The sequence below is a fragment of the Homo sapiens genome, chromosome 15 (assembly GCF_000001405.40).
Source record: "Homo sapiens chromosome 15, GRCh38.p14 Primary Assembly".
NCBI classification, from domain to species: Eukaryota; Metazoa; Chordata; class Mammalia; order Primates; family Hominidae; genus Homo; species Homo sapiens.
The window spans coordinates 59,102,369-59,128,996 of NC_000015.10; the positions used below are offsets into that span (position 1 = coordinate 59,102,369).

Sequence of the window (26,628 nt, forward strand, 5' to 3'; positions counted from 1 at the left end):
TATTCCTGTTTCACCTAAGAGGAAACAAGTTCAGAACTGTCAGATGCCCTCCAACCAATAGGGATTGAGGCAATTTAGGAATTTAACTTTACATAAGTCTCGTCCAACCACACTGATTATTCGTCCCCAAGTAACAGAACCATTTAAGAATGATGGGAAAGCTCGGTCAAATTTTTATTTATTTATTTTTGAGACAGAGTCTCACTCTGTTGCCCAGGCTGGAATGCAGTGGTGCGAACTCGGCTCACTGCAACCTCTGTCTTCCAGGTTCAAGCGATTCTCCTGCCTCAGCCTACCGAGTAGCTGGGATTAGAGGCCTGCACCACCACGCCCAGCTAATTTTTGTATTTTTAATAGAGACTGGTTTTTACCATGTTGGCTAGGCTGATCTTGAACTCCTGACCTCAAGTGATCCACCTGCCTCAGCATCCCAAAGTGCTGGGATTACAGGTGTGAGCCACCATGCCAGGCCTTCAGATTCTTAATGGAACCTGATATCATGGGTGTTAGATCACTCCTTTCCTCTTTTCCTTCTCTTTTCCCATTAATCTCACTTTTTCCTTTCCTGTTTCTTTTTCTGTCTTGATCTTCACCTGCTTCTTTTTACAAGGGCAACATTAATACTGTTCTCTTTGGACTGTGCTAATCCTCCCACTCTTCTGCTCAAGACTGGTGTCACACCTTGTTTTTCATTCTTAAATCTTACATACATCATAAGATCATTTATTAGATGAATATTTTTTAATTAATACACTTAAATTTTATTTCAGTAGCTTTTGGGATATAAGTGGCTTTCTGTGATGTGGGTGAATTATATAGTGGTGAATTCTGAGATTTTAGTGTGCCCATCACCTAGGTAGTGTATATTTTATCTAATATGTAGGTTTCTATCCCTGTCTCCCCTTCCACCCTCCCTCTTCTGAGTCTCTAAATTCCATTATATCACTGTGTTTGCCTTTGTATATTCACAGCTTAGCTCCCACTTACAAGTGAAAACATACGGTTTTTGGTTTTCCACTCCTGAGTTACTTCACTTAGAATAATGGCCTCTAGCTCCATCCAGGTTGCTGCAAAAGACATTATTTTGTTCCTTTTTATTGCTGAGTAGTATTCCATGGTGTATATATACCACATTTTCTGTACCCACTCGGTCGATGGGCACTTAGGTTGGCAATTGTGAATTGTGCTGCTGTAAACATACATGTGCAAGTGTCTTCTTCATATAATGACTTCTTTTCCTTTGGGTAGATACCCAGTAGTGGAATTGCTGGACCAAATGGTAGAACTACTTTTTGTTCTTTAAGGAATCACCATACTTTTTTCCATAGAAGTTGTACATTCCTACCAGCAGTGTTTAAGCATTCCCTTTTCCCCACATCCACGCCTACACTGTTTTTTGACTATTGTTTTTTGAGGTTTTTTTTCTTTTTTAGACAGGGTTTCAATGTGTTGCCCAGGCTGGAGTACTGTGGCACAATCATGGCTCACTGCAGCCTCAGACTCATGGGATCAAGGGATCCTCCTGCCCCAACACACGGCCCCCCGCCCCCCGCCCCCCGCCCCCCTCCCAGTACCTGGGACTACAGGTGCTCACCACTACACCCGGCTAATATTTGTATTTTTGTAGAGACGGGGTTTTGCCATGTTGCCCAGGCTGGTCTTGAACACCTGGGCTCAAATGATCTGCCCAACAGGCCTCCCAAAGTGCTGGGATTACAGGTGTGAGCCACTGCGCCCGGCCTTTTTTTCTGACTTTTTAATGATGGCCATTCTTGCAGGAGTAAGGTGGTATCTCCTTGTGGTATTAACTTGCATTTCTTCGATGATCAGTGATGTTGAGCATTTTTTCATGTATTTGTTGGCCATTTGAATATCTTTTGAGAAATATCTATTCATGTCCTTTGCCCATTTTTTGATGGCATTATTTTCTTTCTTGCTGATTTGAGTTCCTTCTAGATTCTGGACACTAGGCCTTTTTCCGATGCATAGTTTGCAAATATTTTCTCTTAATCTGTGGTTGTCTATTATTTCTTTTGATGTGCAGAAGCTTTTTAGTTTAATTAGGTCCCATTTATGTATTTTTGTTTTTGTTGCATTTGCTTTTGGGGTCTTAGACATGAATTCTTTGCTTGGGCTGATTATTAGACGAACATTTATTGAGCACCAACCATATACGACAAACGATGTACTAGGTGTTGGGAATACAATGGAGAACTTACATGAATCACCAGTCACACAAATCTCTTTTATCTTTTTTTTTTTTTTTTTGCCTTACTTGAGAATTTGGGTTTTTGAGTAAACGCCATTATTCTCTCTTTTTTTAAGCACACTTTTGCATCTCAACCACCTAACACACTGCATCCCTGAGCAACCCGGAGGGGCCGGTTCCTGCACCCAGGCCAACACAACTTAAACCCCAACACACCAGAAGAGGAATAAAGGCCAACCAACTTCCGCCCACCCACTACAAACGTCGAGAGAAATTCGTAGATGAGGCCTTGTCAAAATTCAGAGGCGTCCTACGTCTGCTTTCCCAATGAGACAGTTCCTTTTTGTTTGTCTCAGAGACTGGGGTTTTTTTTTTTTTAAAAGACTGTAGGCAGAAAAAACACCCCAACCGGCTGTTGTGACAATCAAACGTGTCTAAGAAAATTCAGCCAATGAGAGTGCGAGAGTGCATCTTGTGTTGGCCAATGAGAACAGCGACCCGTGCGCAGGGCCGCCCAATGGGGCGCAAGCGACGCGGTATTTGAATCCTGGAACAAGGCTACAGCGTCGAAGATCCCCAGCGCTGCGGGCTCGGAGAGCAGTCCTAACGGCGCCTCGTACGCTAGTGTCCTCCCTTTTCAGTCCGCGTCCCTCCCTGGGCCGGGCTGGCACTCTTGCCTTCCCCGTCCCTCATGGCGCTGCTCCGACGCCCGACGGTGAGTGTGCCCGGGGACCGCTCTCAGAGGCGAGTCCGTCGGCCCCACAGCTCCCCTGTCGCTTCTCTCATCTGCTCCGAGCTTCTCCGTCCCAACCGGGGCTGCTTTTCTCTTCTCCGGAGCTCACTGCTTCGCCCGCGTCCCTGGCCCTGCGGCCGGTCCTCTCCGGCCCGCCTTTCCCCGTCTGGATTCCGCCCTCCCCTAACCCCTCCCTGCCCCGGGGTGGGAGAAGTGTAGGAAAGCGCTTCCGAGATGGCGCCTGTCAAGTGAGCCCCCAGAGCACTAGGCCTAGTACTCAGCGAGCGATCCCCGAGTGCTCTTCATTGCTAGAGAGTTATCTACTTCCACGTTCCTGGGATTTCCCTCCCCCTTTCTTACAACTCCTTGCCAACTAAGGGACCTGTGATGGCGGCTGGGAGGAGGACTGGAAGGGTTCTGTAGGCAGTAAAGTGTACGGCGTGTTTCATCAGGCAACTGCCAGGCTGTTTTTCAGATTGTTCACATTTCTTTTTGTATGAGTTTCCCATTTATTTCGGCACGCTAAGTCTTCCATGCTACGTTCACTAATAAATGGGTTTGTCCCCTTAAAAAATTAATTTCTTTACTCAAATGTAACAGAGGTTTTTGAATATAATTTGGACCAATGTGGCAGACTGAGAGAAAAGGGTCCAAATTCATTTATTTCATCCTTGCAGAGATCAAAGTGTTATGGTGTTTTGGGTATTTTTCCTGTGGGCTTGAATTGTACCGGGACCTACTTTTTTCCTTTGCCGAAAGCTAGAGGGCCCTGACACACCTGAGTTCCATCATCTTGGCTATAAGGTTAGATAAAAGCTGCCAATTTTCCTATCCAGATGAATTTAAATTGAGTCACATTACCAGGCTTCTACCCATAAGCATTACATTTTCAAACACTTTTTCAGATTGGCAGTTGCTGCTGGAAGAAATTGAAGTGTGACTTTTGAGAATCCTAATAGATTGAATACATTTAGCATTTAATTAATATCCTTTTGTGGATCTAAGTCCAACTGACAAGTAATTTTTTATAATAATGTATTCTATAACGTTATTTAATAGTCAAAACCTTTCTGTTCAGGGAAGGCTTGAGTTTCCCTGGCCCCTCTCTCTGCCTGGTAGATCCACTCAAACCCCTTGTTGGGAGTTTTATTAGAGTCGGGACCCTGAACTCTCAGGGATAGGACATGCTGGTTTTTTGCTTTTTTCTTTTTTAATGAAATGTTTATCACTTCTATAATAAACTTTTTTTGGTATGAGTTGCTTTTCCTAGCAAGTTTTATTTCCAAGCACATTATGTCTAAAGCAGGTTAAGGTCAACTGACAATTTTTATTTCATACAATTCCAACCTTCCCTGAGTTTGGGAGCTAAAACTATATTACTCAAGAAAACTACTTCCATTCTAAATGTCCTTAATATAAGAGAAAATCCATTCTATGGCAACCTCATTTTAAAAAGCTGTAGTTCTAAAAGATCATGCATACAGGAGCATTTCTTATTTGTGAAATGGCATAAGAATCAAAGCTAGTTTAGGTTTTAAACATCTGGTTTTTAAACAACCAGACCTATTATTAACTATTAATATTATAGCTTTATTATTTTTCATCTTAATTTACTTTTTACCAAGCTCTGTAAAGGAAGGTTTTTAAATATATGCCTTTAACTTGCAGGGATCTCTAACAAGTGATATGGGTACTATATGAGAAATAATCATTAAATACTAATAAGCTTTGAAGTTCTCTTACAGGCCCACTTGAATACTCAGAATAGCTTTGCAAGGTTAGTGGGAGGATCTTTATTACGGATAAAGTAGATGGGTGATTTGCCTAATTTAGAGTGATGTTATTAATCACAAATAGCATTTTTAGACTTCCTGAAATGTACCTTTTCCATCTTGCAAATAGATCTTGACGTATTGTCCTTTCCCAAAGCAATTCTAAATTTGAGTATCTAACATTAGCAAAGTATTTCAAATTCTTTCAAGGTTTCATTACTTTTTTTTTTTTTTTTCAGGTGTCCAGTGATTTGGAGAATATTGACACAGGAGTTAATTCTAAAGTTAAGAGTCATGTGACTATTAGGCGAACTGTTTTAGAAGAAATTGGAAATAGAGTTACAACCAGAGCAGCACAAGTAGCTAAGGTAACAATGATGAAGACTGAATGTGAATACAGAGGCCGATTCTGTATAGTGCTGAGTCCCACAACGCTGGCTGTCTTGCGCTATTCATGTTTCTTTTTCCTTATAGAAAGCTCAGAACACCAAAGTTCCAGTTCAACCCACCAAAACAACAAATGTCAACAAACAACTGAAACCTACTGCTTCTGTCAAACCAGTACAGATGGAAAAGTTGGCTCCAAAGGTAGGAAGTTCTGAATTTACAAACGTATTTAATGAGGTAGCCTGTTTTTAGCCAGACTACAAGGGTGCCTTTATCATTGCTGTACCTTCTAACGAACATTCATAGCTGGAGCTCTGCTTTGAAGCAATAGTGTAGGAAATGAGTATATACACCTTTTAACTTAATAACATTATGACCTTGAAGCTGGGCATGGTGGCTTATGCCTGTAATCTCAGCACTTTGAGAGGCTGAGGCAGGAGGATCGCCTGAGGCCAGGAATTCAAGGCTGCAATGTGCTATAATGGTGCCACTGCACTCTAGCCTGGACAGCGGAGCAAGACCTTGTCTCTGAAAAAAAAAAATAAATATTACGACCCTGAATAATAAAGTTGATTACCTTAATACCCAAATAAAGGACAGAATGGTTCAGAAAATTCATGGAATGAGTGAGATTTTTAGGGGTAGAGAGAAGATGATAGCTGACAGGAAAGGGCACGTTTGTGGAGAACAAAGTAGCAACAAAGATCAAGGTACCAAAGCGGATATGGACCTATAATCATGTCCTTTCGTTAAGGAGTCTGAAAGACTTAACTGAGTCAGGCGGCTTGAGTGAGGAACCAGAAGATAAGGCTGGGAAGAAGGTTGCAGTTGGATTTGAAGGACTTGGAATTTGGATTTTTATCCCATTAGGCTTGAGGAAACAAAGTTTTGAGGAGTACCGAAATGATGAAAACAATGTAGGGAGGTAAGTTAGGAGGTATTGCACTTATCCAAGCAAGAGCTGATGAGGGTCTGGAGCTAGCCCAGATCTTCCCTAAGCGCCTACCCATACACCAGTATCAATAGTGGGTATGAAGAAACAACATCAAATGTGTTAGGATGTCTCAGAATGTCTTTCATCTTGTATTTAGGAAAGAATACTTTGGACACATGGCTTGCACTGCAGGAGTGGTATCCTTACCCACTTGGATATTAAATAAACCATTTATGCAATAAATGAACAAAAAGTAGGAAAGTCAGGAGAGGGCGGTAGCTTTGGTAAAGGTATCCTGTTTGGCTTCCGATTTGTTGAGGTAACCGAGGGACATCTGCCTGGAAATGCAGTTGGAAATGTGGCAGCAACATCTGAAGGCAAGGAACAGATTTGTCAGCTTTCTTCACAGAGATGATGGTTGAAAGCTCTTTGCTCTTTATGAGAACTAAAGCTTAGAAAAAGTAGTTGAGATGGGACTTCATTTAAAAAGCCTTCCCTAGAAGGTTTCTATAACAGTGACCTCCTGAAAGCCAAACCCAAAGGCTGGTTTTCAGACCTTGATCTCTTAGCAGTTGTGCAGTGTTTTACATGTGTAATGGTTTGAATGTGGTTCCTCCCACATCGCAGGAGGGCGATTTGGCAGTATATGTATATATTTTTGGGGGGGGACGGAGTCTTGCTCTGTCGCCCAGGCTGCAGTTCAGTGGCTCGATCTCTGCTAACTGCAACCTCCGCCTCCCGGGTTCAAGCGATTCTCCTGTCTCAGCCTCCCGAGTAGCTGGGATTACAGGTGCATGCTACCATGCCCAGCTGATTTTCACTATGTTGGCCTGGCTGGTCTCCAACTCTTGACCTCAGGTGATCCACCTGCCCCCGCCCCTCAAAGTGCTGGGATTACAGGTGTGAGCCACTGCGCCTGGCGGTAGTATATTTCAAATGGTTATTCTCCATACCCAGTAGCTTTGTTTTTTATCCAAAGAAAATGATCAGAGGGATAATCAAGTACTTTTAGATAGTGCTATGATGAGTGTCTCTTATAGAGTAGAGAAATACCCTAGTTAAATCCATTTAAGGAAATACTATGCAGCCATAAATATCATGTTTTAGTAGAATATTTAAAGGCATCAAAATGCTTGTAACATTAAGTGGAAAAATCAGATTATAACAATATATAAACAGTGCAACCCCAGATTTGCTTTTAAAATGTACATTTGTATGCAGAATATTGATGGTAGTTATTTTTGAATATTATGTTGGACTTAAGATTGACTTTCATTTTCTTCCTTAAAACGTCAAACTTTGGCCGGGTGCAGTGGCTCACGCCTGTAATCCCAGCACTTTGGGAGGCCGAGGCGGGCGGATCGCGAGGTCAGGAGATCGAGACCATCCTGGCTAACACAGTAAAACCCCGTCTCTACTAAAAATACAAAAAATTAGCCGGGCGAGGTGGTGGGCGCCTGTAGTCCCAGCTACTTGGGAGGCTGAGGCAGGAGAATGGCGTGAACCCTGGGGGCCGGAGCCTGCAGTGAGCCGAGATTGTGCCACTGCACTCCAGCCTGGGCGACAGCGAGACTCTGTCTCAAAAAACAACAACAACAAAACAAGAACAAAAACAAAAAACTTCAAACTTTTACCATGGGTACATATTACTGTTCAAGTTAGAGAAGAAGAAAAGAAGGCTTTTTTTTTTCTTTTTTTAAAAGCAAAGACCATAAATATGTTACTAAAGAAACAAAGGGAAAAATAGTTTCCTCCTGTGACCTCCATAACTTCATCCTTTTTGTGTTTCCTTTACTCCTTGGCTGACTCCTTTTTCTCTTGCTTCCTGGCAAAATTGAGGCCACTGTTTGAGATAAAGCATTATGGACCCGTAGCTCAGTTCATATAAAAATCAATTCCAGGGTTGAAACATATAGCTACATGTTCTAGATTTAGAAGTTATGAGGAATTAATGAACAGGAATTATTTCCAATTCAAATACATTTCCCTCTGAGAAAGTAGTGAAGGAATCTCTAAGTCCACGATTTAGGTAGAGTCCCACCTTCTAGCAGGTGAGTCTCTCTGCCTGCCTGTCTCTGGTCAGCCTTCTGGCTTTTACTTTGTCATCTGCTTTATCTGCAGGGTTATCACTGTTCTTTAGAGCCAATCCCTGGAGGTGTGGAAATGCCACTTGAGTGCACAGGTTTCTATCAATTTTCCTGGAAAGGTGATAACATAAGCCATGTGTCCATGATAGGAGATGTTCCCAGTCTTCTAACCAAATTTATACTATCCTTTTTGCAAAACTGGAGGGCAGGTTTCTTTCTCTGTAGCAGTTGACACAACTGAATCACAAAGTGCCCTGGCTGAGACCTCGGAAGAGTTCCAGCCCTTTACAGGTAGTCATAGAAGCTTATTATCCTGCAGGTTTTGGAGAAAATGGTGTTTTTTGCTGATTAATGAGGCTTTGGTAAACACAGTAGTTAGAAAGGACATGGAAGGCTTTCTACTAGTCCCATGTTTGCTGGACACTGGGGAAACAAGTTGAATAAACCATCGATTCTGTCTAGAGGAGCTCCCAGTCAAGTTGGAGGACATAGGAGTAGAAGTATGGCTTTATCTGTCACAAAGAGAGATGCATGCTTATGAGAGGTACTGAGGAGTCATAGCTAGAACAGATTACCTGACCAGATGAGTAGGATCTTAGAAAGGGTCTTACAATAATTAAATTATGTTGGAGTTCAAAATGAATGCTTTCAAGGAATTCTAAATTAAGGGCCAGGGCAAGAATCTTTGTCTTATCCTAGTGGCTTTTGTTGTTGACTGCTTGATTGATGGAGAAGATCTCACTATGTTGCCCAGGTTGGACTCAAACTCCTGGGCACAAGCAATCCTCCCACCTTGGGCTTCCAAAGTGCCCGGATCACAGATGTGAGCCACCACGCCAAGCCCTTGGTGGCTTTTGGATATGGCTAAACTCAGTTGCACTTCTGAATAGGAGCCAGAAAAATATTCTAAAGTGGTATGATAGCACATGATAACCTCTATCTCCTTAAACCAGACTTTTTGTTATTGACTGCCCTTCCAGGGGTGGGTGATAATGCTTATCCTTGAAAAAGTTAACCTTCAGCTGAAGCTGCATATGCTTATTACAATGCAAATCTGATTCTAGTCACTTGATAAACTCCTTCAGTTTTTCACCTTAACGTTTGGATAAAATCTAAGCTTCTAGAAGCTCGGCTGTTGTTCAGCTTTTCAGCTCATCTTCTCATACCTCACAGGCTATCCTGCTGACATCTCAAATCAATTTGCAGTTCCCAGAATTGCCTTGATTTTCTTTGGTTTGCTTTTGCCTGTTCATCTTCCTTAAGGTCTTACCGTCTCTGGTACCCTGGGTACCTCTACTCATTTGTTCTAGCTCCTTGAGGTTTCCAGGTTCCCAAATTCTATTCTATTCTTTTCTTTCTTTCTTTCTTTTTTTTTTTTTTTTTGACAGAGTCTCACTCTGTCTCTAGGCTGGAGTACAGTGGCATAATCATGGGTCACTGCAGTTTTGATCTCCTGGGCTCAGGTGATTCTCCCATTTCAGCCTCCAAGTAGTTGGGACAACAAGTGTGCGCCACCATGCCTGGCTAATTTTTGTATTTTTTGTAGAGGCGAGGTTTTGCCATGTTTCCCAAGCTGGCCTCAAACTCCTGAGCTGAAGCAATCCACCTGCCTCAGCCTTCCAAAATGCTGGGATTACAGGTGTGAGCCACCGCACTTGGCCTGGGTTCTCAAATTCTTGTATAAATGGCATGCATGCCTGCATAGTTCTTGCTCACCTGGTTCTTCCTCAGTTTAAGACCTTTGATTTAAGAGGGGAGGACATGTTTTAAACTGTTTTTTTGTTTTGTTATTGTTGTTATTGATGCATCCTCGAAGACTGGAAATTATAATCATTGAGCTTTACTGTAAATTAAAATTGTCTTTTTTTTTTTGAGACAGAGTCTCGCTCTGTCACCCAGGCTGGAGTGCAGTGGTGTGATCTCCGCTCACTGCAACCTCTGCCTCCCAGGTTCAAACGATTCTCCTGCCTCAGCCTCCTGAGTAGCTGGGATTACAGGTGTGTGACACCACAGGCCCAGCTAATTTTTGTATTTTTAGTAGAGATGGGGTTTCACCATGTTGGTTAGGCTGATTTCAAACTTCTGACCTCGTGATCCACCCACCTTGGCCTCCCAAAGTGCTGGGATTATAGGCGTGAGCCACCAGGCCTGGCCGCCTCCTCTTTTTAAAAAATATTTTATTACCTTAATATATATTTGTATAGCTTAGCATCTTGTTAGGTTTTACTTGGAGAAGTACTTTTTTTTTGAAAGCATTGATTTGGCTGGGTGCAGTGGCTCAAGCCTGTAATCCCAACACTTTGGGAGGCCGAGGTGGGCGGATCACAAGGTCAGGAGATCGAGACCATCCTGGCTAACACGGTGAAACCCCGTCTCTACTAAAAATACAAAAAATTAGGCGAGTGTGGTGGAAGGCGCCTGTAGTCCCAGCTACTCCAGAAGCTGAGGCAGGAGAATGGCGTGAACCCGGGAGGCGGAGCTTGCAGTGAGCCAAGGTCGTGCCACTGCACTCCAGCCTGGGCGACAGAGCGAGACTCCATCTCAAAAAAAAAAACATTTAAAAAAGCAAAGATTTTTTTATCTTTCATTAATAAATACTTGTTTTAACTGCTTTATAAATTTTTAATTTGCATAATTTTTATAAATAATTACCCAGTCAGCATAGGAAAGTGAAATACTGAGTTGTGAACTTGCTCAGTCTTCGCTCCCTTCTCCTATTTTATTTATAGACTGCAATATGCTTTTCTCCTTTTTAGTTGCCAGTTTTTCAATTTAGAATAAATTAGTTAAAGAGAAGAAAACATTATACTGCAGAAGAGGCTGCTACTAAAGTAGAATGATCAGCTCCAGTAATCTTTGAACCCAGGTGGTCAAGTTTCTTCCATTTATTGAGCACCTACTACGTATCAGGGATTATATAGATGTTTGAGGTGCCTTAGTGGGCAAAACCAATTAAATAAACGTAAGCTTTTAGAGCTTACATTCTGGCAGAGGTAGACAGAAAATAATACACATACTATATAAACTATAGAATTTTAGAAGTATAGGTATTATGAGAAAAAACAGAATAATACACATATAAACTATAGAATTTAGAAGTATAGGCTTTATGAGAAAAAACAGAATAATACACATATTAACTATAGAATTTTAGAAGTATAGGTTTTATGAGATGAGACATATGGGTAGGGTAGGAGGACAGGGATTGGAGGCAGGTGATAATTTTGTTTTTTGTTTATTTGGTTGGTTTTGAGGCGGAGTCTTGTTCCGTCCAGCCCAGGCTGGAGTGCAGTGGCGTGATCTTGGCTCATTGCAACCTCTGCCTCAGCCTCCTGAGTAGCTGGGACTACAGGGGCGCACCATCACGCCCAGCTAGTTTTTGTATTTTTAAAGTAGAGATGGGGTTTTGCCATATTGGCCAGGCTGGTCTTGAACTCCGGGGCTCAAGCCATCCACCTGCCTTGGCCTCCCAAAGTGCTAGAATTACAGGCGTGAGCCACCGTGCATGGCCTGATAATTTTAAATAGGAGTTAGGATAGACCCCATTGAGAATGTAACATTTAAGTAAAACTTGAAGTAAGGGAATTACCCATATGGACATAGGGGCAAGAGCATTCTGGGTAAGAAGAACCTGGCTTGAGTGAAGCAGTCAAGGGAGAGAAGCAGGAGATGGGTCAGCGAGGGAACTGGGGAGGGCCAGATTATATAAGGTCTGTAGGCCATTGGGAGGACTTAAGTTTTCAGTTTGAGTGAAATTAGAGAGTTTTAAACAGAGAAGTGTCTCTTGAAGAACTTCACATACTATATCTTGAATTATTCACCTCTTGGTATGAAATTTGTTGTGTCTTTAACATATTTCAGATGTGCGTATGATATTGATATTTAAGCCAGTTGGCTCTGCATGTATTTATGGTTAAGGCTGCTCCTACATGTGCCTAAATTTGTTGGTGTAGGGTCCTTCTCCCACACCTGAGGATGTCTCCATGAAGGAAGAGAATCTCTGCCAAGCTTTTTCTGATGCCTTGCTCTGCAAAATCGAGGACATTGATAACGAAGATTGGGAGAACCCTCAGCTCTGCAGTGACTACGTTAAGGATATCTATCAGTATCTCAGGCAGCTGGAGGTAGGTGGGCCTTTGTGTTTTGGTTGTATAAGCAATGTGGAATTTACCACACAGCTGGGAAGCAAACAAGGTCAGCTTTTTAAACTTTTGATTCTACCCACAGGTTTTGCAGTCCATAAACCCACATTTCTTAGATGGAAGAGATATAAATGGACGCATGCGTGCCATCCTAGTGGATTGGCTGGTACAAGTCCACTCCAAGTTTAGGCTTCTGCAGGAGACTCTGTACATGTGCGTTGGCATTATGGATCGATTTTTACAGGTAGGTGTGGCTTCAGGGACTTCACGCCAGTGGCTCATTGAACATTGCATTTATGCTTGGGGGATAGAAAACTAAAGTGGGTACTTCTGAAAAAAAGACCAAAAATCAAATTGTGAGAAGCCAAAGAACTTTGGGGACTAAAAAGGGAAGTAATCCAAGTGTGTCAAGCCTTTGATGATGCGGACCAATAATGGGCATTTCTGTAAGGCCAGCCAGCTAAAAAGTACTTGGGGGAAATATTGCATTGCCACAATCCTTCATCAGAGGAAATATACCATCAGTTGGGCTGAAAGTCCATCTGAAGCCTGTAGTGCCTTTGGATGCTGGTTTTCTGGGCCTGCTTGCACAATTTCCATAGTTTGGTGCTCTGGTGTTAAGTTTCCTCATCTGAAAAACGATGAGTTTGGCTGGAGAACCTCCACATTTCCAGCCAACTATGTCATTGAATCACTGTAGAAGAAGAAGGTGGCAGTATTTGTTTTTTTTAAAGGAGCAGGGGTTGTGTGTGGAGTGGACTGAGAATGTAGTGTAATAAAGAGTAATATAAGAAAATAAGAGGCAAACATAATCTTCAGCATATTTATGAGTGGGTAATGCACAGCCCCTGACCTGTTAGAAGAGACAGCAGATATAAATTGCCAGTGTGTTATCTACCAAACAATAGCCCTGCAGATAAGGTTTTATTTATTTAAAGTCAACATTCAGGATAGGGGTTTAGGTCAGGCACAAATTCTGTCCAAACAATGTAATAAAAATTACTTTACAATAATGACCCTGAGATACTACAAAATCCCAGGTAGCATGCATTCCTCTTTGGGCAGGAAAGCACAACAGTATTTTAGGTAGGTTTCTTTATTTTTTATTTTTTTGAGACAGGGTTTTATTCTGTTGTTGCCCACGCTGGAGTGCAGTGACACAATCTGGGCTCACTGTAGCCTCAATTTCCTGGGTTCAATCAATCCTTCTACCTCAGCTTCCCAAGTAGCTGGGACTATAGGCATATGCTACCACGCCCAGCTAAGTTTTTGATTTTTTTATAGAGATGGGGTTTTGCCATGTTGCTCAGGCTGGTCTCGAACTCCTTAGCTCAAGTGATCTGCCCACCTCGGCCTCCCAAAGTGTTGGGATTATAGGCATGAGCCACTGTGCCCATCCGTGGTAGATTTTTAATAATGAGAGTTGAAGCAAGAAAAGTACAGAGTTTGGGAGGAAAAAAAAAAAGCAATTAAGGGAAACGCTTTACCCTAGCCTGAGAGTCTGCCTGACTCCAAAGCATTAGCGAAAGATTTTCTAAGCTGAATAATGGGTATGCTTTTGGTAAGGATTAAGGAAATGAGCCATCCATTAAATTCTCACTTTTTTCTTTGGCCTCATTTCTATTCAGACCATGTTTAGTGTGTCAGGCCAGGGCTGCCACAGATACTCAAGTCAGCATGAGGTTGTGGGAAGGGTGACTAGGAGCTTGGTATTCAGGCTTGGATTCTTCCCTTCTTGGCAATTGAATGATCTTGGCATGGTGTCTGAATCTGTTCTCAGGACATCTATTTGTAATTGAGGAATAAAATATGCCTTTCCTAGAATTTTTATGAGGATTGGGTGAGATAATATGTTAGAATCTTAGCACTGTGCCTAGCACACAGTGCTCAATTACAGATAGCTGTCATGATCAGTGGTAGAACAGTCAGGTCTCCTGTGCCCTTATGAGCAAAGACAATGTGCACTTTTCCAGGACTTGGTTTCCTTTCCCCTTCTCCCACCTAAAGCTTCACTCTTCTTGTTAGGTGTGACTTTTGTTACATTAATTTTCCATTAGGTTCAGCCAGTTTCCCGGAAGAAGCTTCAATTAGTTGGGATTACTGCTCTGCTCTTGGCTTCCAAGTATGAGGAGATGTTTTCTCCAAATATTGAAGACTTTGTTTACATCACAGACAATGCTTATACCAGTTCCCAAATCCGAGAAATGGAAACTCTAATTTTGAAAGAATTGAAATTTGAGTTGGGTCGACCCTTGCCACTACACTTCTTAAGGCGAGCATCAAAAGCCGGGGAGGTAAGTGCCTCCAGCTCTGTAAGAGACTATTTTTGCTTGGTGTCTCATCCCAGAAACCTTGACCTAATTTAAGGAAAGCTTATTTATAGGACGCTTCCTTTAGGTAAGTCTTAATGCTTTCCTCATCAGTTCTTAAGAGAAAAGGCCTCATGATCTATGTTTACAACATAGTGTGGAATAGAGTAATTCTTGAGAAGGATAAGTGAGTCAAGTGAATTGGAGTTCCTAGGCCTTCACGCAGAATTTTGCAAGACAGTAATTACACTTGTGATTCTTACTATCCCTTGCTGTTCTTTCTTAGGTTGATGTTGAACAGCACACTTTAGCCAAGTATTTGATGGAGCTGACTCTCATCGACTATGATATGGTGCATTATCATCCTTCTAAGGTAGCAGCAGCTGCTTCCTGCTTGTCTCAGAAGGTTCTAGGACAAGGAAAATGGGTGAGTGGTGGATTTAAGAAGAAACTAATTAGGCTATATTTTAGTCCTTCGTAATACAAAAGGCCTTAGCATTTTTACAACACTATCCTTGAAGCAGTTGGTTTTGTTTTGTGTTTTTGAGACAGGGTCTCATTCTGTCACGTAGGCTGGAGTGTGGTGGTGCCATCACAGCCCACTGCAGCCTTGACTTCCCAGGCTCAAGTAATCCTCCTACCTCAGCCTCCCGAGTAGCAGGGACTACAGGCATGCATGACCATGCCTCGCTAATTTTTGTAAATTTTTTTGTAGAGACAGGGTTTTGCCATGTTGTCTAGGCTAGCCTTGAACTCGGCTCAAGCAGTCTGCCCACCTTGGCCTCCCAAAGTGCTAGGATTTCAGGTGTGAGCCACAGTGCCTGGCCTGAAGCAATTGTTTAAAGTCCAAAGTCCTAAAGGAAAACTACTTGGAGAGGGGCATGGGGGCTTGTGCTTGTAGTTCTAGCTACTTGGGAGGCTGAGGGAGGAGGATCATTTGAGCCCAGGCCCAGGAGTTCAAGTCTATCCTGGGGAACACAGAGAGACCCTTGTCTCTTGGGAAAGAAAGCAAGCAAGCTGCTTGGAACAGTTCACATAGAAGTGAGTTGACTATACATACTAAGGTGCATGTGTGCAGTATAGAGTTGTACAGAATGAGGAAGGCCACTAAGAACTGACATGTATGATTTCTTAGATATTACGTTAAGTGAAACAAGCAAGTTGTCAAGCACACAAGACAAAGGAAGGCCAAGGCCTGACTGATTTAGCCAGTAAGAATAGAATGAGCCACTTGTAGATTTAGAAGAGTAGCCAAGGATGGCAGCTCCTCGGGTCTTTGTTTCACATGGCAAAAAGGATAATGTGGAAACAAATGGAGCTGGATGGCTGCAATGCAAGTCACAGGTACACTGTTGTGGAGAAGCCAGTTCTAGACCACCGCTAAACAGTCTTCTAGTCTGCAGTTATACCCTGAGAGCAGTACAATAGAAAACCTCATCAGAACCTAGGGGATACGAAGCTGTCTTGGCCGGGTGCCATGCCAGTAATCCCAGCACTTTGGGAAGCCAAGGTGGACAGATCACCTGAGGTCAGGAGTTTGAGACCAGCCTGGCCAACATGGCAAAACCCCCGTCTCTACTAAAAATACAAAAATTAGCCAGGCATGGTGGCAGCTGCCTGTAATCCAGGCTACTCTGGAGGCCTAGGCATAAGAATCACTTGAACCCGGAAGACAAAAGTTGCTTTGAGCCAAGATCGTGCTACTGCACTCCAGCCTGGCGGACAGGGCGAGACTCTGTCTCCAAAAAAAATATAAAAAAGAAGAAGTTGTCTCGTGACAGCCTCCCAGGGGAGATAGGGAGGTGAGTGGGAGATGGCTGGGCGGCAGCTCTGCCCACACCTGCCATCTCCTCCTTTTTCAGGAGGATCACAAAGCATTTTGCCAGGACAGATCAGCTGTGGTTCAGGCCTTGGCCTGTGTGGCCTATATGGATATAGGCAAGGTCACCAGGGCAGCATGGTGGAGCTGTTCACCTAAACAATGTATATTGTAGTTTACATTTTATGCAAGAAAGTGTGTGTATGTATATATATTTATATATTTGTTAATTTTTTGGTACGGGAGGAATAAACCAGAAAGAATGAAAGTGGAAACTATGGGGTTCTTTGGGAATAGGGTGGAGGTTGAGGATGAGAGGACTTCTGATTGTAACCTTTTATTGACTTTATAATACAGTGTAACTTTTTTGACTTTTGAACAATGTAAATATTTTATGCAAACTTTAAATTGTAATTAAGTGGAAATAAACAATGTAACTACATGTGAAATTGGTAACAGAACACAGAGGAAAGAATTAATTTAAGTACTTGTTGCTTGAGCCCAGCCTGGGTAGCGTAGCAAGACCCCCATCTCTATAAAAAATTAAAAAATTAGCTGGGTATGGTGGCACACACCTGTAGTCCTAGTTACTCAGGAGGCTGAGGCAGGAGGATTGCTTGAGCCCAGGAGTTCAAGGCTGAAGTAGCTATGATCCTGCCAGTGCACTCCAACCTGGGCAACAGAGCAAAACCCTGTCTCCAAAAAAAAAAAAAAAAACAAATCTGTAACCTGAACACAGCATTCTGACTGTGCATCCTTAGTGGGATTTAAAGTATGACAAAATAAAGGACTAAAGTGGTAACATCAAGTTTACTTAGTAGGTTCATTGTTAATAGTAATCTGTTATTATAATTTTGGAACTAGTTTATGTGTATTGTAGGATAAAACAAATTTATTCATGTTATTAAGGACTAAAATTTTCAATATAGGAAGAGTTTTAAATTATTAATTCATTAATTTTTTCTTATACAGGGTCTTGCTTTGTCATCCAGGCTGGAGTGCAGTGCTGCTGTCACAGCTCACTGCAGCCTCAATTGCCTGGGCTCAAGTGATCCTCCCACTTCAGCCTCCCACGTAACTGGGACCCAGCCACACGCCATCATGCCTGGCTAATTTTAAAGTTTTTTTGTAGAGATTAGCTCTCCCTGTGTTGCCCAGGCTGGTCTCGAACTCCTAGGCTCAAGTGATCTTCTCGCCTTGGCCTCCCAAAGTGCTGGGATTACAGACGTGAGCCACTGTGCCTGGCCTAAGAGAGAAAATATTAACAATTAAAAACAAAAGGTTAGTCCTCACGTAGGAAATAGCAAAACAAAAACAAAGGAAAACCCCTATTATGTTTTGGAAATAACAGCAAATTCATAATAAAGGGTCTCAGAAACAGTGACAACTCAGTAGTAGTGAGCATATTTAGTGCCCACATCTTGGATACTAAATACCATTATCTACTGGCAACTAGGGCTGTTTAGTGAAATTGCTGATTTCAGGGCTATGGCAGGGGAAGTACAAGGTGAGCCTAGAACAATTTGTGCCAGATAGCACACAAATTCTCAAAGATCAATGAGGTCACATCAAAAGGACATAGGAGAGCTGGTCATGGTAGCATGTGCCTATAGTCCCAGATACTCAGGAGGCTGAGGCAGGATCCCTTGAGCCCAGGAGTTGGAGGCTGCATTGACCTATGATTGCACCACAATAAAATAGGAAGGAAGGGAAGGAGGGAGATAGGAACTGGCTTGAAAGGACTCTGGCTGACTGAATTAGAGCATTAAAAAGAATAATGACAGTAATAGATTATAGTGTATAAAAAAAAGGATTCCTGGGACCATAATGACATAAAAAATAAAAGAGGGGTTCATTTTTAAAAATCAGAATACCAGCTAATTAAAGTAGAATGATAGAGTTAGAAACCACTAATTTTCAACCTGTAATGTAATAATTTATTCAAGCAAGGTGCATCAATGAATGCAAAAATCATTAGATGGAATAATTTTGGGAAACAAGATTCACGTGGTCTCAATTTATCATCCCATAGATACTTATTAATTCTGTAACAAAACTGCACATCTATGATGAAGTGGTCTGGTGGTTTCCACCTTCACCCAGTGATTAAGCTCAGCATTACCACTGGCAGACGACCTGAGTTGCCATGCCGTGTTGTGCAGTAAGATGTATACATTATCACCTATTCATGCCCAAAATGTTTGACATGAATTAAATCTTGAGGAAATATGCAAATCCAGAATGTGAGACATTTTAAAAGGAACTGCCTCGATGCTTAAAAAAAAAAAGTCACTGGTGACAGTGTTTCTTATGTGAGAATGGTGTTATGGATAGGTACGAAAACGTACTTTTTAGAATATGCTTCTGAAACATTTAGCAGGGATGTGCTGTGATATCTGCAAATCGCTTTCAAATGGCATAGCAAAAATTGTGTGTGAGTATACACAGAGAGGGAGAGGAGGGAAACGTGGCACATGTTCATGATTGATCAGTCTACATGAAGGATATATAGAGGATCATTCTTTCAGTTTTTCTGTAGATTTGGAATTTTTTGAAATAAATAAAACATTTGAGGCAAAAATGTCACTGGTACATGGTACCAATGGCTCATTTTTAGTCACCTTACTCTTAAATGTGCTTCGCTCTCCCAGTTTTCTGAGAATTTATTTCAAAAGGCTAGAAATTGTGCATTATTTCAGTTTTTACTCGTTTCCTCTTTCTTCCCTTCAAAGTATTTTAGGATTAAATTGTGTAGACTGGGCACAGTGGCTCACACCTGTAGTTTCAGCAGTTTTGGAGGCTGAGGCAGACAGATTGCTTGAGCCCAGCAGTTTGAGACCAGCTGGGCAACATGGCGAAACCTCGCCTCCACAAAAAAACAGAGAAACTGGCTGGGCGCAGTGGCTCATGCCTGTAGTCCCAGCACTTTGGGAGGCTGAGGCGGGTGGATCACTTGAGGCCAGGAGTTTGAGACCAGCCTAGCCAACATGGTAAAACTCTGTCTCTATTAAAAATACAAAAATTAGCTGGGCGTGGTGGCACATGCCTGTAGTCTCAGCTACCCAGGAGGCTGAGACACGAGAATTGCCTAAACCCGGAAGGTAGACGTTGCAGTGAGCAGACATTGCACCACTGCACTCCAGCCTGGGCGACAGAATGAGACTCTGTCTCAAAAAAAAAAAAAAAAAAAAAAAAAAAAAAGGAGAAATTACCCAGGCATGGTGGCATACACCTATAGTTTCAGCTACTAGGGAGGTTGAGGTGGGAGGATCACTTGAGCCCAGGATGTCACGGCTGCAGTGAGCTTTGATAGTGCCACTGCACTCCAGCCTGGGCAACAGAGTTGAGACCCGGTCTTCAAAGAAAAAAAGAGATTAAATTGTGGTTTATTTTGCCAATTATACCATGCATATGAAAAAAACGTACTTTCGCTTTTAGAATTTTTGTCACAGAACTCTTAAATAAAGTCAGTTGACATATCTTTTTTTTTTTTTTTTTTTTTTTTTGAGACAGAGTCTTTCTCTGTCACCCAGACTGGAGTGCAGTGGTGCGATCTCAGCTCACTGCAGCCTCTGCCTCCCGGGTTCCAGCGATTCTCCTGCCTCAGGCGCACACCACCATGCCCGGGGAATTTATGTATTTTTAGTAGAGATGGGGTTTCACCATGTTGGTCAGGCTGGTCTCGAACTCCTGACCTCAGGTGATCCGCCCACCTCGGCCTCCCAAAGTGTTGGGATTACAGGCGTGAGCCACTGCGCCTGGCCTTTTTTTTTTTTCTTTTTTTTTCTTTTTTTTTTGAGACAGGGTCTCACTGTGTTGCCCAGGCTGGAGTGCAATGGCGTTAATATCGCTCATTACCTCAAACTTCTGGGCTCAAGCAATCCTTCCTCCTCAGCTCCTCAAGTAACTGGGACTATAGGTGTACACCACCAAGCTTGGCTAATTTTTCATTTTTCATAGAGATAGGGTCTCCCAATGTTACCCAAGCTGGTCTGAAACTCTTAAGCTCAAGCGATCTTCTTGCCTTGGCCTCCGAAAGTGCTGGGATTATAGGCGTGAGCCACTGTGCCCCGCCAATTTATATATCTTCTTACATGATACATCTTATTATCAATTGACAGCTGTTCTTTTACTTGAATTTTACTCTTTGGGAGGCTAGGTCACAAGGCTTGGTGTGGTAGTGTCTAAGTTCTCTCTGCTGTTTGGTGCTTAACTACACAGGGTTCAACAAGAGAATCATAGGTAGTCCTAGTTCTTCTGGATTTGATAGATTGTTGCTTGTAGCACAGTTTATTTCTTATTTCCGAACATCTTTCCCTGACTGACAGTATGTCTGTTTGGGCTCTTGAGCTCATAACAGGGACAGCTGGGCAGGGCTTTGATGCAGGGTTGTGTGAGATGTGGCCAGCACTGTAAAGGGGCACTTTGTTTTAAGTGTCTCCTTTTCCATCCCCTTTCAGTGTTGTTACTTGAAGGACTCTTACCTGTGCAACGTCTTTGAAAGATCGTATGGGACCTTTGGCACTTGATTTAGTCTGGTCTCAGGGCCAGAATCATCTTGCATTTACCAGCTGCTTTAGTGTTGCTGGTACTGTGAGAGTGGTTAGGGCTTTGATTGAATTTCCAGAAGGTAAGAATATTCTTGTACAGCTTTTACATAAGTAATGTCATCATGTACAAGATGTGTTCTTCTAAAGAAGCAGAGGTTTTCTCTTGCCCCTCAGTCATGTCTGTCTGTCTGCTTCTTGTGTTTCAGAACTTAAAGCAGCAGTATTACACAGGATACACAGAGAATGAAGTATTGGAAGTCATGCAGCACATGGCCAAGAATGTGGTGAAAGTAAATGAAAACTTAACTAAATTCATCGTAAGTACTACTGTTTTCTTAAGCTGTGGAAAGCTTTAGGTTCTGGGTTTTGTGTGTATGTTGGGCGGGGGGGGGCGGTGTGTGCCGTCATGTAAATATATTAATAACATGTGGGAGTTTTAGCACAAATCCTTTATCCTTTATATTTTTCTGGTACAGTATGGTATGGAGCATACTGATAAACCCTGAAAGCAAGCTTTATTTGAAACAAGGTCGATAGGCTAGCCATGTCCAGGCCCAGATCCCAGTCAACCAGTCGGTTACTCAATGTATTGAATTACTCTGTGCTTATACTAGCATCCTGGGGAGGGCACTTTGCAAGCAGGGAAGGCTGGTCTGCATGTGATTGGGAAGAGAGAGGGCCCACTTCAAATGGCGGTGTATTATATTGCGTATTCAGGTGATGTTACTCAGAGCCTTTGTCCAGGGTCTTTTGAGGCAATGATGGAAAAACGCCTAATTAGCAAGCATGGTTAAGAGGGAAGAGGCCCATTCAGGGGGCATCCTGAGGGCATGGTGTCTATCTCTGCATGGCCCACCTATGAGGAGGAGCCAAAGGAGACTTAGTGCTGTCCTGTGCTTGTGTGACACCAAACATCAGAGCTCACCAAGTGTGTGGTGGCAAAGAGCAAGGTATTTGAACCTCAGAAGAGTCTCAAGTGTCCTCACAACATGATTTGCTTCATGGAAGTGTAATATGTGTTCAGTCCTGAGAGGACTGTCTGGGATTTGTTAAGCACTAGTTGCCACCCTCTTTTATTGTCTTTTATTGTCTTTTAATTGTTCCTATTGCTGCCAGGCCTGGTGAACCTGTTATGTCCTGATGGCACTTAGGTGTCGTAAACACAGCTCCCCCTCCCATCCCTCTGGTAGCCTACAAGAGGAAGCCTGCTACTTGGACCTTGAAATCATTTGTTCCTATCACCTGTGCTACCAGCTGTGTTTTATTCATTAATGGGGATGGAAGGAAATGGTCAGGCACATGTTATGAGCCCAGAGCTTTCACTGGCTTCAGCGATTGGGCATCATCAATGTGATCATGATTGTAGCCGTGGACCTTTGATAATTGTGAGTTAGACTAGGAATAAGGTATCATTGGGGGTTCCTGACATGTGCTTAATCACAAATGACTTCTGCAGGCCATCAAGAATAAGTATGCAAGCAGCAAACTCCTGAAGATCAGCATGATCCCTCAGCTGAACTCAAAAGCCGTCAAAGACCTTGCCTCCCCACTGATAGGAAGGTCCTAGGCTGCCGTGGCCCCTGGGGATGTGTGCTTCATTGTGCCCTTTTTCTTATTGGTTTAGAACTCTTGATTTTGTACATAGTCCTCTGGTCTATCTCATGAAACCTCTTCTCAGACCAGTTTTCTAAACATATATTGAGGAAAAATAAAGCGATTGGTTTTTCTTAAGGTATCCCATGTGTATTTATTTGTGTATTCTGTACTTAAGAAATCAGTGAAAGCTTGCTTTGACTAATTTCTTTTTGAGCTGTTATGAATAGCATGTAAATTACTGCCATTATGGCTTGGGCAAGACCTTTTTACCATTTTCTCAAATGGAAAAAACTAGAACTTGGCCTCAGTGAACACTAAACCTATTCCTAAGCTTCTTGAATACAAATAAGTTTATTATGAAAATTTTAAATGGGAGGATAACCATGACACTTTCCTTTCTAGAAGCTAGTCAGCTGCTCTCTAATTCCTGCATAGGAACGCCTGGCCCAGAGCAACCCTTGTAATGGGTCCCTCTCTCAAATGCATTGTTGAGACCAGAGAGAGCCATCCCATGGGTCACAGCTGGAGAAAATGGGCCCGTGGCATCCTGTTCAAGGTGAAGCTTGGCATGCATTTTTTCAGGTACATTATGGGGTAAATGGCTTTGCATTTTTTTGTTTGGTTGGTTTTTAATGGGCATTGAACTTTTTTTTTTTTTAATTGAAGTTCTGGGGTACATGTGCAGAACATGCAGGTTTGTTACATAAGTATACATGTGCCATGGTGGTTTGCTGCACCCATCACCCTGTCATCTACATTAGGTATTTCTCCTAATGCTATCTCTCCCTTAGTCCCCCACCCCGTGACAGGCCCCTGGCAGGGGTTTTCCCCTCCATGTGTCCATGTATTCTCATTGTTCAACTCCCATTTATGAGTGAGAACATGAAGCGTTTGGTTTTCTGTTCTTGTGTTAGTTTGCTGAGAATGATGGTTTCCAGCTTCATCCGTGTTCCTGCAGAGGACATGAATTCATCCTTTTTTATGGTTGCATAGTATTCCATGGTGTATATGTGCCACATTTTCTTTATCCAGTCTGTCACTGATGGGCATTTGGGCTGGTTCCAAGTCCTTGCTATTGTGAACAGTGTCGCAATAAACATATGTGTGCATGTGTCTTTATAGTAGAATGATTTATAATTCTTTGGGTATATACCCAGTAATGGGATTGCTGGCTCAAATGGTATTTCTAGTTCTAGATCCTTAAGGAATCACCACACTGTCTTCCACAATGGTTGAACTAATTTACACTCGCACCAACAGTGTAAAAGTATTCCTATTTCTCCACATCCTCTCCAGCATCTGTTGTTCCCTGACATTTTAATGATCGCCATTCTAACTGGCATGAGATGGTATCTCATTGTGGTTTGGATTTGCATTTCTCTAATGACCAGTGATGATGAGCATTTTTTCATATGTTTGTTGACTGCATAAATGTCTTCTTTGGAGAAGTATCTGTTCATATCCTTTGTCTACTTTTTGATGTTTTTTTTTTTTTCTTGTAAATTTGTTTAAGTTCTTTGTGGCCTCTGGATAGTAGCCCTGTGTCAGATGGATAGATGGCAAAAATTTTCTCCCATTCTGTAGGCTGCCTGTTCACTCTGATGGTAGTTTCTTTTGCTGTGCAGAAACCCTTTAGTTTAATTCAATCCCATTTGTCAATTGTGGCTTTGTTGCCATTGCTTTTGGTGATTTAGCTATGAAGTCTTTGCCCATGTCTATGTCCTGAATGGTATTGCCTAGGTTTTCTTCTAGGGTTTTAATGGTTTTAGGTCTTACATTTAAGTCTTTAATCCATCTTGAGTTAATTTTTGTAAAAGGTATACCAGTATAAGGGATCCCGTTTCAGCTTTCTAAATATGGCTAGCCAGTTTTCCCAACACCATTTATTAAATAGGGATTCCTTTCCCCATTGCTTGTTGTTGTCAGGTTTGTCAAAGTTCAGATGGTTGTAGATGTGTGCTGATATTTCTGAGGCCTCTGTTCTGTTCCATTGGACTATATATCTGTTTTGGTACCAGTACCATGCCGTTTTGGTTACTGTAGCCTTGTAGTATAGTTTGAAGTCAGGTAGCATGTTGCCTCCAGCTTTGTTCTTTTTGCTTAGGATTGTCTTGGCTATGCGGCCTCTTTTTTGGTTCCATATGAAATTTAAAGTAGTTTTTTCCAATTGTGTGAAGAAAGTCAGTGGTAGCTTGATGCAGATAGCATTGAATCTATAAATTACTTTGGGTAGTATGGCCATTTTCATGCTATCGATTCTTCCTATCCATGAGCATGGAATGTTTTTCCATTTGTTTTTGTCCTCTGTTATTTCCTTGAGCAGTGGTTTGTAGTTCTCTTTGAAGAGGTCCTTCACATCCCTTTTAAGTTGGATTGCTAGGTATTTTGTTCTCTTTGTAGGCATTGTGAATGTGAGTTCACTCATGATTTGGCTGTGTCTGTTGTTGGTGTATAGGAATGCTAGTGATTTTTGCACATTGAGTTTGTATCCTGAGACTTTGCTGAAGTTGCTTATCAGCTTAGGGAGATTTTGGGCTGAGATACTGGGGTTTTCTAAATATAGAATCACGTCATCTGCAAACAGAGACAATTTGACTTCCTCTTTTCCTAATTGAATACCCTTTATTTCCTTCTCATGTCTGATTGGCCTGGCCAGAAGTTCCAATACTGTGTTGAATAAGAATGGTGAGAGAAGGCATCCTTGTCTTGTGCCAGTTTTCAAAGGGAATGCTTCCAGTTTCTGCTCATTCAGTATGATATTGGCTGTGGGTTTGTCATAAATAGCTCTTATTATTTTGAGATACGTTCCATCAATACCTAGTTTATTGAGAGTTTTTAGCATGAAGCAGTGTTGAATTTTGTCAAAGGCCTTTTCTGCATCAATTGAGATAATCGTGGTTTTTGTCACTGGTTCTGCTTATGTGATGGATTACGTTTATTGATTTGCGTATGTTGAACCAGCCTCGTATCCCAGGGATGAAGCCGACTTGATCACAGTGGATAAGCTTTTTGATGTGCTGCTGGATTCAGTTTGCCAGTATTGTATTGACGATTTTTGTGTCGATGTTCATCAGGGATTTTGGCCTAAAATTTTCTTTTTTTGTTGTGTCTCTGCCAGGTTTTGGCATTAGGATGATGCTGGCCTCATAAAATGAGTGAGGGAGGATTCCCTCTTTTTCTATTGTTTGGAATAGTTTCAGAAGGAATGGTACCAGCTCCTCTTTTTACCTCTGGTAGAATTTGGCTGCTAATCAGTCGGGTCCTGGACTTTTATGGTTGGTAGGCTATTAATTACTGCCTCAATTTCAGAACTTGTTATTGGTCTATTCAGGGATTCGACTTCTTCCTGGTTTAGTCTTGGGAGCGTGTGTGTGTCCAGGAATTTATCCATTTCTTCTAGATTTTCTAGTTTATTTGCGTAGAGGTGTTCATAGTATTCTCTGATGGTAGTTTACATTACTGTGGGATTGGTGGTGATATCCCCTTTATCATTTTTTATTGTGTCTATTTGATTCTTCTCTCTTTTCTTCTTTATTAGTCTGGCTAGCGGTCTTTGAAATTTTGTTGATCTTTTCAAAAAACCAGCTCCTGGATTCACTGATTTTTTTTGAAGGGTTTTTTTGTGTCTCTGTCTCCTTCAGTTCTGCTCCGATCTTAGTTATTTCTTGCCTTCTGCTAGCTTTTGAATATGCTTGCTGTTGCTTCTCTGGTTCTTTTAATTGTGATGTTAGAGTGTCGATTTTGGATCATTCCTGCTTTCACTTGTGGGCATTTAGTGCTATAAATTTCCCTCTACACACTGCTTTAAATGTGTCCCAGAGATTCTGGTGCCTTGTGTCTTTGTTCTCATTGGTTTCAAAGAACATCTTTATTTCTGCCTTCATTTCGTTATTTACCCAGTAGATATTCAGGAGCAGGTTGTTCAGTTTCCATTTAGTTGTGCGGTTTTGAGTGAGTTTCTTAATCCTGAGTTCTAATTTGATTGCACTGTGGTCTGAGAGACTGTTATGATTTCCATTCTTTTGCACTTGCTGAGGAGTGTTTTACTTCCAATTATGTGGTGAATTTTAGAATAAGTGTGATGTGGTGC

At 42.0% G+C, this 26,628-nt stretch overlaps 1 protein-coding gene across 1 annotated transcript, besides 1 other annotated feature; it reads left to right on the plus strand.

Annotated features, from left to right (window-relative positions):
- Positions 2,301-2,590: an enhancer, noted in NCBI's record as "active region_9485". NCBI's record gives its function as "activates an Ori minimal core promoter by ATAC-STARR-seq in GM12878 lymphoblastoid cells {active_cell/tissue: GM12878}" and the evidence as "EXISTENCE:reporter gene assay evidence [ECO:0000049][PMID:35858748]".
- CCNB2 (cyclin B2) lies at positions 2,778-22,677 on the plus strand. The gene is made up of 9 exons (NM_004701.4): positions 2,778-2,924; positions 4,954-5,082; positions 5,189-5,302; positions 12,076-12,246; positions 12,350-12,508; positions 14,322-14,558; positions 14,860-15,000; positions 21,149-21,259; positions 22,399-22,677. Exons 1-9 carry the CDS (start codon positions 2,901-2,903, stop codon positions 22,507-22,509), a joined length of 1,197 nt encoding a protein of 398 aa, NP_004692.1. The 5' UTR covers positions 2,778-2,900; the 3' UTR covers positions 22,510-22,677.
- The last annotated feature ends 3,951 nt before the right edge of the window (positions 22,678-26,628 follow it).